Below are 16,083 nucleotides of genomic sequence, written 5' to 3'. Positions count from 1 at the left end.
CTCCAGCCTGGGTGACAGGGCAAGACCCTGTCTCAAAAACAAATACAGATGCAAATAAAAATTTAACACCATACTTAGGATATCTTTCACTGTTGATTCATATAACCTTCCTTCTTTTTTTTCCTCTTCTTCTTCTTTTGAGACAGGATCTCCCTCTGTCACCTAGGCTGGAGTGCAGTGGTGCGAGTTTGGCTCACTGCAACCTCCGCCTCCCAGGCTCAAGCCATCCTCTGACTTCAGCCTCTCAGGTAGCTGGGACTACAGGCACATGCCACCACACCTGGCTACTTTTTTTTTCTTTGAGACGGAGTATCGCTCTGTGGCCCAGGCTGGAGTACAGTGGCGCGATCTCAGTTCACTGCAAGCTCTGTCTCCCGGGTTCACGCCATTCTCCTGCCTCAGCCTCCCGAGTAGCTGGGATTACAGGTGCCTGCCACCACGCCCAGCTAATTTTTTTGTATTTTTAGTAAAGACGGGGTTTCACCATGTTAGCCAGGATGTTTAGCCAGGATGGTCTCGATCTCCTGACCTCGTGATCCGCCTGCCTCTGCCTCCCAAAGTGCTGGGATTACAGGCTTGAGCCACAGCGCCCAGCCACCTGGCTAATTTTTGTATTTTTTTGTAGAGATGGGGTTTTGCCATGTTGCCCAGGCTGGTCTCGAACTCCTGAGCTCGAACAATCTGCCTGCCTCGGCCTCCCAAAGTGCTGAGATTACAGGTGTGAGCCACTGTGCCTGACCTGCCTTCTTTTAAATAAATACATGGTAAATCAAAGTATGGATGCACCACAGTTATCCTTGCTACTCTCCTGGGGATGGATATTTGGGCTGCTGCCTTTTATTCACTTGCAAAAAACATTGCTAGAAGAATTTGTGACCCCTGTCCCACCATACCATGTGCTCCTCACTTGAAGTACTTTGAGTAATTTCAACTAAGGATTTCCGTTAATGCCCATTCAATGTCTCTCTCCTCTGTGAAGTTCTGTCATTTCTAAGGGAACCCAAGGAATCACGTCTGTGTGTCCAGGGAAATATCTCAGGACCTGGTTCAGTCCCTGGCACTCGGAAGATCTCAAGAGATCATTTTGCATGAGCAACTGAAAGAACCAGTTACTGAATGGATGTGTGTGTGCTCATGTTCGTGTCTGCAGGGCATGTGCGTATAATGAGAAACACCGGGCTGAAAGGTATGCATAATTGGAAGTGTTTTTTCCAGCCTGCAAAGTTGCCTCCTGAAAAGAGCGAAGCAACGTGAGGGAATGAGAGGGCAAGGAAGACACTTTTAGGGGACGTGAGAGCACAGAGTCATATTCCATTTGGTGTCATCAAGGTTCTGGGGACCCAGTGGGAAATCTTCCCACCCTGGCCTTGAGGAGCTCTCACTTGCTACAGGAGAAAAGAGAAAAAGGAGAGATGAACTTGCTTTGCCCCAGCAGGGGAGACAGCTCCACCCCAATCCCAGTAGGTGCTGCCTGTTCCCCTCTGGGCCCCACCCTACCTCCAGGCCCTTGGCTTCCCAGCTGCCAGTCTTCTCCCATGCAAGTGTTAATAACGCACATAAAAATCATAATAATTGTTAGAATTACTAAATCGAATATGCTATACACCTTTCCAAAAATTTAACACTGGCCAGGCGCAGCAGCTCACACCTGTAATCCCAACACTTTGGGAGGCCAAGGCGGGTGGATCGCTTGAACCCAGGAGTTTGAGACCAGCCTGGCCAATATGGTGAAACCCTGCCTCTACAAAACATTTTGTAACAGCAAAACAGCAGTCAAAGACAAAGCCTTTGAAGTCTGTGGCTGCCCTGCCAGCCTTCGGATGGCCACTGCATGCCCTCTCCTCAAAGGCAGAACAGAAGCAACACCCAGGCCAGCTTTTAAAACTGGTGATTACACCACAGCTGCCCGGGGCTGGAAGCTCGGGCATTGAACAGGGTTTAGATGCCTGGAGCCAGCAGTCAGCTGAGCAAAGAGATGGCCCTGTAGGTCCCCTCTGCTCTCATAGCGAGTGCTGTCTTCTGACCTAAGGGACGGCTCCGTGTGGTTCCACATGCATGTGTGCACTGAGAACAGGAGTGTCCTAGAGGTACAGCTTTCTCACACCCTGCTCTACAGATGTCCACCCCCAACCTTTAGAGAAGCCATGAGAAGGGCAAGAAGCTTGAGACCTATGGCTTGGTCAGTGGACAGGAAATAGCTGAATCTCCCCTCATTTAGGCTGTACTCCTCTTAGGTGAGAGTCACATCTTACCTTTCACTCATTCATTCAACAGCTATGCACTGAGCATCTGCTATGTGCCAGGGTCGCAGCAGGACAGGTGGGGTCTGTGTATGAAGCTCTCGTGAACTTTACATTTTAGAAGAGGCAGACTATCGGCACATAAGCAAATACATGAGTTAAGTAACGTCAGATGGAAAGTACTTTGAAGAGAATCAGACTGTGCAATAAAGAGGGCAGTACAGAGTTCCTTTTGACTGGAAGGCCTCCCCAAGGAGGTAGCATTTGAGCTGGGGCTAGAATGAGGAGAGGCAGCCAGCCCAGGGATGAACTGGAAACAGAATGTTCCAGGAGGAGGGCATGACAGGTGCAAAGGCCCTGACGCAAGAATGAACTTAGTGCCTTTGATAACTGAACGATGGTCAGAACTGGGACATGGTGGGTAGGGGCCAGATCAGGCAGGGCCATGTAGACTGTGGGAAAGAGTTTGGACTTTTTTTTTTTTTTTTTTTTTTTGAGACAGAGTCTTGCTCTGTCGCATAGGCTGGAGTACAGTGGCACAATCTCGGCTCACTGCAAACTCCGCCTGCCGGGTTCAAGAGATTCTCATGCCTCAGCCTCCCAAGTAGCTGGGATGGCAGGCACGCACCACCATGCCCGGCTAATTTTTTGTACTTTTAGTAGAGACAGGGTTTTGCCATGTTGCTCAGGCTGGTCTCGAACTCCTGACCTCAGGCAATCTGCCTGCCTCGGCCTCTCAAAGTGCTGGGATTACAGGCGTGAGCCACCAGGCCTGACCAAGAGTTTGGACTTTGAAGTACAGCAGGAGACCATTGGCTACACTGTGTGCCAGTTATTGTGAGACATCCATTCATTTATTTGCTCACTCAGTCACTCAGTCAATCAGTCAGCCCATCAGTTAACGATCCTTTTCTGAGCACAAGTGCAGGGACTGGAGACATAGAGATGAATGAGACACAGTCCCCAGCCCTCAAAAGGCTCATAGTCTAGTGGCCAAAGTTAGTGTGGACACACACACTTAAAACCCAAAGTGACAAGCAGAGGGACATCCAAGGTGCTGGGAATCAGAGCAGGGAGCGTTTGTTTCTAAGTGGGAGGACCAGAGAAGGTCTTCAAGAATACGTGATATTTGTGCTGGATCTTGAAACCCCAAGCACTGTGCTGGCACGTCGAGGTGCTTTGTAAATATTTGTTAAATGAAATAAGTAAGAGAGGGAGGAAGAGAAGGAAGAAGGAAAGATGGGAATTTGCCAAGTGCTGAAGAGTTTTGATGACATGAGACAGTGTGGAGAAGGAGTTACTGATCCTGTCCAGAGGCACAGGAGGCTTCTCAGAGGTGGCATGTGAGCAGAACACATCCCACCTCCTGCTCTGGAACTCCTACTATGCGAGGCACATAGTAGCTGCACAGTAAATGTCGACAGGTGTGGTGGTATTTAATGCTATTTGCTCAACGTTTTCACCTCTCTGATTTCCAGGCACTTGCCAGGATTGCACTTCCTCTGCCACCTGTAAAGTTAGGTGTAGTCACACGACTTGCCTTGGCCAGTGACATATGAGCAAAAGTGACATGGGTCACCTCTGAACATGTTTCGAGAGCTAGTGAGCAATTTATCGTGTCCCCTTTGGAGGCTAATATAGAGAAGAGGTCCCCTGCCAGTCTTCAGTGGGCATACAGTAGGAGCCACTGACATTCTGGTGTGGTTGTTACTGCAGTGGAATCTGTCCTATCCTGACTTATGGAACGAATGAGTCAGTGGATCCCAGGGAGGATTTTTGAGTTAAGGCAGGGGCATGAGGCCCCTTTGGAAGTCACAGGTGTGGTGAGGCTGCAAAGGAATGAATCATCCTGAAGCCCACTAAAAACATTTCTTGAGAAAAGAATCTTGGGGCCCCAGTCTTTGTTCAGCCAAAGGGAGCTGGAGTGTGCCTCCAGAATGCTAACCTTTCCCACAGCCCCTCGCCCTCTTCTTTCCTAGGGGCAGCATTTTGAGCCTCCTGTTATCACGTCTGTAACCCTTGTTCATTCCACTGGGTCATTCATTCATTCCCAAACATTTCTCGTAACCTGCTCTGTGCTGGACCTTGTGCTTGGGGCTGGGGAGACCAAGGTGGATGAAACTGGGCACCAAGTCTCAGGAAGCTCAGAGCCTAGACAACAACACAGACATAGAAACAAATGCACTGCAATACAAATGGGTGGACGCATGCACACAGACACGTGCACACACACACACAGAGGTGCCCCAAGTAGGAGAGATTGAGTTGGCTTGTCTGATACTTGAGCTAGCTGCTGAAGAATGGCTGGAGTTCATCAAGTGGGAAAGACAGGAAGGATGTTCCAGGAAGCTGTGTAGGGTTATGAAAGAGAAGTGGGGCCGGGTGCGGTGGCTCAGGCCTGCAATCCCAGCACTTTGGGAGGCCGAGGTGGGTGGATCACTTGAGGGCAGAAGCTTGAGACCAGCCTGGGCAACATGGTGAAACCCCATCTCTACCAAAAAATACAAAAATTAGCCAGGTGTGGTGGCATGCATCTGTAATTCCAGCTACTTGGGAGGCAGAGATTTCAGTGAGCCAAGATTGTACCACTGCACCCCAGCCTGGGTGACAGAGTGAGACCTTGTCTCAAAAAAAATAGAGAAGTGATTCTCTCAGGTAGACTTAGCGGCAAGGGTAGAGCTAGGGGATTAGGTGCAGAGATCTCGTGAAGGACCTAGGGTGCCAGGCTGAGGGATCTGGACTTTGTCCTAATGTCAACAGGGAGCCAGCAAATGTCTTTGGGTAGAGGACGGCCTGGGTGAGAGCTGAGTTTTTGGCTGTGGGAAATACCAGGCTGCCAGTCTCCAGCTGGGTGACTTGGCAAGTGATGTAACTTCTGTGTGCCTCAGTTTCTTCATCTGTAAAGTGAGAATGACAATTGTATATATCTCATAATGTAGGAAAGGGGAATATTCTAAGGAAAGCTTTTGGCAAGGTGCCTAGCACAGCGTAAGGGTCAGCAAATGGTGGCTGTGATTATTACTGGCAAAATGTAACATCATGGGGAACAAGAGTGGTGTTGAAGGGCACTGGGAAGGAGGGGATGTCACATTTATCCAGCCACCTTGCAAACTCTTTGGGCCCTTACAGCTTGCATCCTATATGCCTTGCATCTTCACAAAAGCCAGCATCTCCCTGTGTCCTGGAGGATGGACTAGCCAGGCGGATGGAAGGTTTGCAGCAGGCACATCTCCATGAGCACAAGGTCATAGGTCTGTGTCACTGTGGTGATAAACCCTGGGACCAGGGATGGGCAGCTTTGATGTGCAGCTACAAAGGCCCAGCTGCCCCTGTGGAGATGCCAGGTCTTCACAGGTGATGACACCCCACCCATTTTGAAGCATGTCTTTAATAAGGGCTGTTGGAGAGGCCAGGCTGTGCTCTGGAAGGTCCCAAAGGCCGCTTCTGGAATAGGTCTGGTTAATACGGGCACAGAACAGAGAGAGCACTACTCACACCCAAATCCTTCAGATAATTGGGATAAATTTTCCTTTAGGCCCAAAGAGGAAGGATGTCAGCTTTGGTTGTGTGCCTACTATGTGCTGGGACTTGCGCGTCTAGAATCTCACCAAATCCTCCCAGCTCCCTTGCAAGTTGGTCTTACTGTCCCTGACCTGCAGATGAGCACTCGAGGCTTTGAAGGGCCAGCCACTTGTCACACGGTCAAAGGAGAGGACCCAGGTGGGAAGAAAGTTCTACCTGACCCTGAAACCCAATGACTCTTGTTTCTATGGACTTAGGGGGAAAATGTGTTGTGTGTTTTTTTTTCCTTTATGTTTTCATTAAGAGGCAGCATCTCACTCTGTCCTGCAGGATTCTCCCCTCCACCCAAATCTCTGCCTGGGAAACGCTTACTTTTCTTGCTTGACAGAGCTCAAGCATCACCTGTCTGAGAAGCCACCCTCGGGTCTCCCCACCATTGCCCTGGCCAGTCTCTGTTATGGCCTATTTGGCGCCTTTCTCTCCCATTGGACTGTAAAGTCCTTGAAGACAAAAGTGCTTCTGGGCCTCAAACTTCTAGTTCAGGAGACTCACAGATTTCCTAAGCAGATACTCATCTCTGCACATGGTATTTTCCTCAGTAGGAGGGGCTTGAGGGGTAAGGTCAGGGCACGTGCTTCCAGGCAGTAATAGGACCTGACTAAGGCCCACTAAAGTCCCCATCATGACCCAGGTGCAGTGCCTGGCACGTGACATAGACTCTCTCATGCACTCCAAATACCTTGTGAGGAAGGTTCTTTTTTGATACCCACTTTGCCCAGGAGAAATCTGAGTCCTGGGGAGCCCAAGACCTTTCCAGCTGCTTAATGGCAAATCTCTGATTGCTAACTGAATCTGAATGTATTTTTACAGATTTATTCAATCAATCAACATGTCCTTAGGGTCTGCCCTGTGCCAGGTTCTGTTTTAGGCACTGGGGACACAGCCATGAATAGTAGGTGAGGCCTGTGTGAGCGTGTGGGTGTGAGTGTGTGTGAGTGTGTGTGTGTGAGTGTGGTAGAGGGGGCCGGAGGTGAACAGGCTGAGGATCAGGAAAGGCTTCCAGGAGAAGAAATGAGTTGGGGTTAGGTCAGCAAAGTTGGGCGGGGTTAGAAAGGCCAGAGGAGGGGAGCAGCAGAGACCAAGGCCTGAGTGGGAGTGAGCACAGGGGCTGGGAAGAGTTGGAGGAGGGGATTGGGCAGAGGATGGCAAGAGATGGGGCTGGAGAGGGAGACGCACTCAGATCAGATCCTGAGGGGCTTCCTGAGAAGAGTCACCTACACAGGTTGTTAATGACCCAGCAATCCAGTGCCCTTCGGGGCAGGAAAAAAAGGTTTTCTGCATATTTTATATCATGGAGATTTCCTGTGCCCACACCCCTGCCAAGTGTATCTCCATGAGAAGACAGAGAAGGGGTCCCCCAAGGCAGGGAGGGAGGCGATCCCGGCTCTCAGAGAGCTCTGCAGTGGAGTATCTGCTGGGTCCTCAGCCAGAAGCCAGACACCCTCGGGTTTTTTAGACCTTGGGTGCCAACCTGCTGTGTGGGCCTGGGCAAGCTGCTTTGCCTCTCTGAGCCAAAGATAATTCTGTGTGAAACGAAGAGACAAATCCCTATGTAAGTGTCGTAGAAAAACCTGCCCCTTCATTTCCTCCTGGAAAAAGGAGCTTATTTTGCCCAAGAGGGCCAGCTCAGGGTAGAATAAAACATTTATTGGATATGCTCGGATTCCTTGCAACTCCCAGCAGGCAGTTAAATGCAGGGCGGAGAAGCTGTCCCAGGAACTTTCTAAGATGAAAGGGTGTCCTCTGTAAGGACAGCTCCCCACTGGCCCTCTTTGCCAGCCTCCAGGATGCCTCTCCACTCTGCGTAGAGGTCAAGCATGCCAAGGGCTTTGTTTTTTTCCCACTTCTTCACTCTGCCTCTGTGCCAAGGAGAGTCTAACAAGCCCGATGCTGCCTGCCCATCTCTAGATGTACGTTTCTGAGCCAGTCTCATCCCCGGCTGAGCACAGCGGTTAAGGGCGTGGATTCAAGCTACTTCCTAGCTGTAAGGCTTGCGGGGAGTAGCTGTGAGACTCAGTTTCCTCATCTGGAAAAGGGAGAAATAATGACCACTGTGACTGTTGCAAAAGACTAAACAGATGACAAATGGAACGTGTTCAGTAAGTTGCCTGACACATGGGGAGCACACAAATAAAGATTAAAAAAATAAAGATTAAAAAATGTAGCATGGTTTTTTGTTTTTGTTTTTTTAGTCTAGGAAGAATTTTTATTAGAAGTAGGAAGAAATGTCAGGTTCTTTTATTGTGGGGGAAACACACATAATATGGAACTAACTGGCTTAACCATTTTTTAAATGTACATTTCAGGGACGTTAAGTACATTCATATGTGCAACCATCACCACCATCCATCTCTAAAACTTTTTCATCTTCCCTACTGAACCTCTAAACCCAATAAACAATAACTTCTTGCTCCTCCCTTTCCTCTAGTCTATGTCAACCACCATTCTTTCTTCTGTTTCTATGAATTTGGCTATTCTAGGTATCTCACATAAGTGAAATCATACAGTATCTGCCTTCTTGTGACTAGCTTATTTTACTTAGTGTGATGTCCTCAGGGTTCACCCATGATGTAGCATCTGTCAGAATTTCCTTCCTTTGTATGGCCAAATAATATTCCCTTGTATGTATAGACCACATCATGTTTCTCCATTCATCCATCAATGAATTCCACTTTTGGGCTACTGTGAATAATGCTGCTAAGAACATAAGTGTGCAAATATCTGTTTGAGCCCCTGCTTTCTGTCCTTTTGGATAAATGTCTAAGACTGAAATTGCTGGTTCATATGGTGAATCTGGGTTTAATTTTTATATTACTCATATAGTAAGTTTTAAAGCCTCCATTTCTTCAGCTTAAACAGGGGCCCATGGCAAATGGGGACTTCTCCTCCATCCCTCCCCCCTTGCCCAGCACAGAGTCAATACAGGCTCTGCCCACCTCTAGACTGTGGTGCCTAACCCGAGGCTCCTCTGAGCTATGCTGGCCTCCATGGTGATGAGTGTAGTTGGTGTGTTCCTGGCCCGGTGCAGACACACAGCATCCAGCCATCCCTAGTGGAGCAGCTCCTGCCTCTGTTTCTCCTTCAAAAAAGAATCCAGGTACCACCTCCTGTTTCATGGAGCTGTCTGGATGAAGCATCACTTCCAGGGAGCACTGCTACCTTGGAGTAGCACCACATGGAAGAATTACCTCTGCCTGCTGTCAGCCCGGGGACCCCAGCCCTAGGGCACCATTGTCTTCATGGCCTCACTGGCCCTTCACAGTCTGCACCCAGGCAGGTTGGTGTCCTGGTTACAAGGACTTTGGGATCAGATAGATCCAGGCTTGAGACCAGGCTCTGGCAGTTGCCAGCTCTGTGAGTTTGAGAAAGACACATCTCTCCTCTTTGCCTGTTCCTAATCTACAGAAGGGGATAATAGCTGACTCTGTTAACAGGAAAATTAAGTGAATGCGTGGAAATCCCTGAGCCCTCTGTCTGGCACAGAGCAAACAGTCAGTGATTAGAGTTTTCAAGACCATGTCATTACCTGGTTAGGCACAAGAGTGAAGGAGGCAGAGCTTCCAGGACTGAGGGTGGAGAGGAGGTGAGATAGTGAGGTACTTCTGAGCAGGGTTTTAAGGGTTCTAGCTGAGGACACTTGGGAGAAGATTCTGGGTCAGCCAAGCCAAACCCTTCCCCCCGCCATGGCTCTACCTTCATTGAAATTTCCTTTCCTTACTATGAGTTGAAGGTAGGGAAGGAAGCACACATTTGTGAAATATCATTGTGTGCCTTATGGTGTCTTATGGAAAAAAATGTCAGCCATTACAGCTTAGTTAATCCTTTCATAATTGAACAGAAGAATGTTTATGAGAAAATTCTTTTCTCATAATGTTTTTTTGCCACTAAACTATTACTAAAGGGCATTTCCAGGAAGCAGTAATATGGAGGTTGCTTCTTATATCTTCCTTTAAATCCTTGTATTTGAACAGGGCTTTAATGCTCACACAATTTTTTCACATGGTGCATTGATCATCTTGACCCATTTACAGATGGGGGAACTGAGCCTCTGGGAAGTCAGAAGGGTGCCATAGAAAACTGGAGTTGGAAAAAGCTCTTTCTCTTTTAGGCAGTCCTCACTGAGCACTGGTCATGTGCCAGGCCCTGAGCTAGGGACAGGGTCTGAGAGATGGTGATGATGTGGGCTCACCGTTTTCCTCCTTCCTATGTGATATGGTTTGGCTGTGTGTCCCCACCCAAATCTCATCTTGAATTGTAATAATCCCCATGTGTCGAGGGCAGGACCAGGTGGAGATACCTGAATCATGGGGGCAGTTTCCTCCATGACGTTCTCGTGATAGTGACTGAGTTCTCACGAGAGCTGATGGTTTTATAAGGGGCTTTCCCCCTTTACTCGGCACTTTTCCTTCCTGCCGCCATGTAAAGAAAGACATGTTTACTTCCCCTTCTGCCATGATTGTAAGTTTCCTGAGCCCTCCCCAGCCATGAGGAACTGTGAGTCTTTATAAAACTCTTTCCTTTATAAACTACCCAGTCTCGGGCAGTTCTTTGTGGCAGCATGAGAATGGGCTAATACACTATGCTTGTAGGATTTCTTCTGTCCTTGGCCTAGGAGTAGATAAATTTCCCAGCAAGGTCAGCTGCGCTGCATCCCATACACTCTCTACCTCACGTGCTGCTCTAGAGTGATTCCTAGGGCTCCTAAGTCACAGTCAGCTGCAACTTGGCCTGGGGCGAGGCTGGTAGGCACTTTACTGCCTCCCTCAGAGCCATCCCCTCTGCAACCTTTGGCTTTCTGGTTGTCACCTTGTAAAACAGGATGATTCCAAAACTCTTTCTATTTCTGCCTCTAATTGTCCCTAGCATTGTCATCACCTGCTACCGCACTATCGAATCCTCCCCTTTGCTGCTCTGTATGGCTGAAAGGCTACATGTGAAATTCGAGTGTAGATCAGCTCTCCAAACTTGGCAGGGCCCATGTCCCCTCACACATCGCTGCCCTCTCCACTTCACTCCAACCACTACTGACCCAGGGCTTCCTTCTCCTGAGGTGACACTGTTGGTTTTTTAGAACCAGGGACAGGTGTTTCTATTTTTCCATGTCTCCTCTCATCTTGGAAACCCATCCTGCCACAGTCATTTGGGATGCTTATCGCACTAAATGTGCTTGCCTGAGTCCCCTACAGAACAGTAAGTTCCATGAGAGTAGCTATACCTCTCTCTCTCTCTGTCTTATTCACCATTATTCTGCCTGAGCCAAACTCGGTGCCTGGCAAAGTAGGCGCTCAAAGAAAAAGGAGCTCTATTTCCCAACATAATGTGTGCTTCTTCCTCCCTCAAACCATCTGCCAATTGGACAAGTGGGCCTCCCACTGTTTACCATTGTCTCATGTAACTTGGATGGGCAGAACAGGACCTAGCAGAGGACCTCAGGCACCTCACTACAGGAGACAGAGACCTATCGGTTAATTCCCTTCCCTTATGGGCAGTCAATTTCCTAATCGTCTTTGAATCCATCACACGTTTTCTCTGTCCTGTTTACAAGAAGACCACCACAAGCTGGCCTCATTCTGATCACTCATCACACCATCCCTAAGTCTACCCATCCAGTGAACCTAACAAAGAAAGAAATGAGGCTGATCTGGCATGACTTGTTCTTAAGGAATCAGTGTGGGGTCCTGGGAATTACTTTCCTTCCTAGGTGCTCTCCAAGCCCTGAGTTTTCTGGAACCTTGCCCAGAGTGATGTTAAGCTCACAACCCCATGTATTTGCAGAATATCTTGGCTTCCAGATTTTGAAAATGCAAAGCACCCTTGTCCATTCCTTAGGCTCTTGCTCTCTCTGGTTCTCCTAGGTTCCCTAGGAAATCCTGTGCACAAGTTCTTTTGATGTCCTAAAATGGACTCCTCCCAGCCCAGAGGTTTCCATTTCTGTGCCTCCCAGTGCCCTCTGAGCATTGCCTCACCTCCCCTGGCCTCCTGTTCCCTTTCATAATATTCACTCTAGTCTTTTGGTCTGGTGGTCATTTTCCTTGCTAGTTGTGGTGGGTTGAATGGTGACCCCCAAAAAGATATGTCTGTGTTCTGGAATCTGTGAATGTAACTTCATTTGGAAAAAAGAGTCTTTGCAGAAGTAATTAAGGATCTTGAGATGAGATCCTCCTAGATTACACAGGCAGGCCCAAAATCCAATAACAAGTGGTCTTATAAGAGACAGACAAGGAGAAGACACAGACACAGAGGAGAAGAAAGCCACATGAAGATGGAAGCAGAAATTGGAGGGCTGCAGCTACAAGCCAGTGAACACATGGAGCCACCAGAAGCTGGAGGAAGAATTCTTTGTTGAGAATTCTCTCTTAAAAGGCCAGGTGTGGTGGCTCATGCCTGTAATCCCAGCACTTTGGGAGGCCAAGGAGGGAGGATCATCTGAGCTCAGGAGTTCGAGACCAGCCTTGGCAACATGGTAAAACTACATCTCTACTCAAAGTACAAAAATAAAAATAAAAATTATCCGGGTGTGGTGGTGGGTGCCTATAATCCCAGCTACTCAGGAGGCTGAGGCAGGAGAATCACGTGAACCCGGGAGGTGGAGGTTGCAGTGAGCCGAGATCACACCACTGCACTTCAGCACTTCAGCCTGGGCAATAAGAGTAAGGCTCTGTCTCAGAAAGAAAAAAAAAAAAAAAAGAATTATCCTTCACAGCCTTCAGAAGGAAGTCTCTACTGACACCGTGATTTTGGACTCCTGGCCTCCAGAACCATGAGAAAATAAATTTCTCTTGTTTTCAGCCACCCAATTCATGGCGATTTGTTACGGCATCCTCAGGAAGCGAATCCAGCGGCGGAGACCAGAGCTGCTAGTTCTGCTTCCTCTTGGTCACGAGCCTTCTTTGGGATGACCACGTAGGCCTCCCCACTGGCGTGGCTGCCTCCAACCTCACTCCCTCCAGTCCCTCTGCTGCACCGCGGCTGCCGGAGTGACATTACTAAAACACATGACGGCGTTGCATTCCTGTTTGAAACCTGTATCAGCTAGAACGCTTTCTGTTCCAAGTAACAGAAAACCCAACCTAAACTGGCTTAAACAAAAAGGAATTTATTGGATCATAAACTCAAAAAGGCCAGGGACTAGGGCTGGCTTCATCTCGGCTGGATTTGGGGCTCAAACGACGTCACTGGAACTCATTTCGCTCCACCGTGCTGCTGCCTTCTGCTGTGTTGGCTTCGGTCTCAGAAGCCCCATGGTTTTGAGGTCGTGACAGCGGCCCCAGTCCCTACATCCTGTCAGATTAGAGACCAGCAGAAGGGATCAAAGACCTCTCCCAGGTCCTCAAGCCAAAGCCCAGGATGGGCTGCCATTGGGCCGGATTGCCAGTCCCTCAGCCAATCACTGTGGCCACAGCAGTGGAATGCACGGATTGGCTTAGGTTTGGGTCACATGCCGCTTCCCCTGGAGTCCTGGTGGAACTGCTTCTACCAGAACCACTGGACTGGGAGGAAAGAAGGGGAGGAAAGGAGTAGGACGCAATCCCCAAAGTCCCACCCTAAATATAGTAAAGGCATGCAGAGCAGCCAGGAAAAAAACCCCAGCATGTCCCTCCAAATGCTCTTCCATCGTCCCTGCCAAGGCTTATCAAGATCTAAGTCCCTGGTCTTCAGCCTCAACTCCAAGTTGCTTGACAGCCCCGGGCATATCCTGTCTTTTCCTGCCTATGTGCCTTTGCATGGTCCCCTTTGCCTGGACCACTCTTTTCCCCTCCCCGAGCCCTGATCTGACTAGTTTTTACTCCTCCTCGGCATCCCCCTCCGGCACGGAGAAGGTATCAGAGTTTGGCAACTGAATAAATGAACGGCCTATTCCTACCAAGAAGTGGCTTATGGCTGTCACCAGGTGTGAAGCTCAGCTGAACAATTCACGGAACAAAATCCACATCTCACTTCCCAAATCATCTCGGTATAATTGACTGTGAAATCCACCAGGCACACTTCCCCATCTCATGTCTTGTGGTAAGGGAAAAGGCAGTGAGGCTGGCTTAAGCTATGGACCAGTTAAAACCACTTGAGATAATGTCCAGGGCTCTGGCTTGAAGAAAAGGGTGGGAAGTGAAAGCTGGAGAAAGCCCTGGCCTTGAGGTGCAGAAAGGGAAAAATTCAGTGGGCACAGCTGACCTCATTCCTCAGACACTTTCCAAGACTTTCCAAGACACACTGAGGGTTTGGGTCAAGCCATGCTGGGATCTCAGCCAGGATAGTGGGAAGGCAAGAGGGCTCCCCAGCCCTCCGAGGAGGTATCCTGAGTACCAGTGCCCAGTGCCCAGAGCTGTGTGCTGAATTTCAGCTTGGTTCAAGCTGTCATCAATTTTTGGGAGAGGAAGGGGCAGCAGCATTCATTGAAGTTGGCCAGCAATGGAAGCAGGAAACGACGCGGCCAGTTTATCCATAGCAGAGCCTCAGCTAATCTGTAAAGCTCAGGATCAGTACACAGTAAGTCTTCAACCCATAGTTGCTAGCTTTTTTTTTTTTTTTGCAAGACAGGGTCTCCCTCTGTTGCCCAGGCTGGAGTGCAGGAGCACTACCACAGCTCACTGCAGCCTTGACCTCCCAGGCTCAAGTGATCCTCCCACCTCAGCCTCCTGAGTAGCTGGGACTACAGGCGTGTGCCGCCAGGCCTGGCTAATTTTTTGTAGAGATGGGGTTTTGCCATGTTGCTTGGGCTCATCTCGAGCTCCTGAGCTCAAGCGATCCTCCCACCTCGGCCTCCCAAAGTGCTGGGATTACATGAACCACCACACCTGGCATTTACTAGCACTTTGTATCACTAAAATTGTTGCATTATATGGAGGCTGGGGGTTTCGTGGGCCTAAACTGATTCTCAGGGCACTATTTACGGGGTTCTGGCTTGCGTGGTGAACTCCAAATCAGAGAAAAAACAATTCTTGTGAGAAACTCAAGAATCTATGATTGTGTGTTTACTATAAATCAGGCACTGTTGTAAGCCCTTTACCTGAATTAACTCACAATTCCCCACAATACATGCTGGTGTTATGGTCATTTTACAAGTGAAGAAACTGAGTCCCACTGAGGGTAACTTACCCAAGGTCACACAACTTGTAAGGACTCCAACCAGGGCCACCAGAGAATATGAGGATGACAGTCACAGCCCCATTCACTTAGTGCCCACAGGTGACTGGCTTTGTGCAAAATGCTTAAGTCCTCTCCTGTGAACCTCCCAAGTCTTCAAGGTAAACACTAGAATCTCATTTTACAGAGAAGAAAAGCGGCCCAGAGGTGCAGTGGTTTCCCTAAGCCCACGCCGGAGAGGTTGACGGTGTAAGACAGGAGTCAGGTCCTGCTGTCCGTCTGAATCCTCCCAAGCTCAGTCTCAGCCAGCAGCTCAAGAGTTGAGCACAGCAGGGACCTGGGGCGCTAAAGCTTCCCGCAGACAGGCGGGTACCAGATAGGTGACTGCAAGACTTTCTGGGCCCCACCTGCCGGAGGGGTGGGGCCGCTGCTCATTTCCTGCGCCGCCCACCCTGATCAGGACAGGCCCAGAAACCTAGCAGGTGGAGGCTGCAGTTAGGGGCCAGGAAAGCCCAGCTTGGGGCTACCCCTCTGGGCTTGCTCTGATGGTCTTCAAGGAGAAGGTACCCAGTAATTAGCTGGCCCCGGGCACATCAAGCCTGAGGGCAGGTAGAGGCTGATGGGAGGGGCTCCCATGGTCCCCACTGGAGAGGGCAGGGAGGTTAGAGAGAGACAGGGACTCCTTTCTGGTCCCCTGCCGCTCACCCCTCCCCTTCCCATTCCTCTTTTACCCTGAAGTCATGGGCTTTTTCTGAACACGAATCTGACTCTATCACTCTGGTTAATGGCCTTTAATAGCTCCTCATCACCTTCAGGGATAAAGTCCTGGCTATTTAGCCAGCATTCAAGGTCCTGAGTGTCACCTGGCCCTTGGCTTCCTCTCTGGCCTCATTTCCTATCATATCCTCCACCCCTACTCCAAACACACACTTACACCCACACAACCACACACACTCAACGCACTCATGCATTCACACACTCACACACACATGCACTGGCACTCACACACTCACTTGCACTCACACTCACACACATTGGGGGGTCACACACTCACATGAACTCACATTCACTCGCACTCAGACACACATTCTCACACACTAACACACACTGACACATTCACATTCACACACAGACATGCACTTGCACTCATACACACATACACTCACATTCTTTCACACTC

The sequence above is a fragment of the Homo sapiens genome, chromosome 9, assembly GCF_000001405.40.
Source record: "Homo sapiens chromosome 9, GRCh38.p14 Primary Assembly".
In the NCBI taxonomy this organism is placed as follows: domain Eukaryota; kingdom Metazoa; phylum Chordata; class Mammalia; order Primates; family Hominidae; genus Homo; species Homo sapiens.
The sequence above is the reverse complement of the archived record's forward strand: the minus strand, read 5'-3'. Positions refer to the sequence as shown.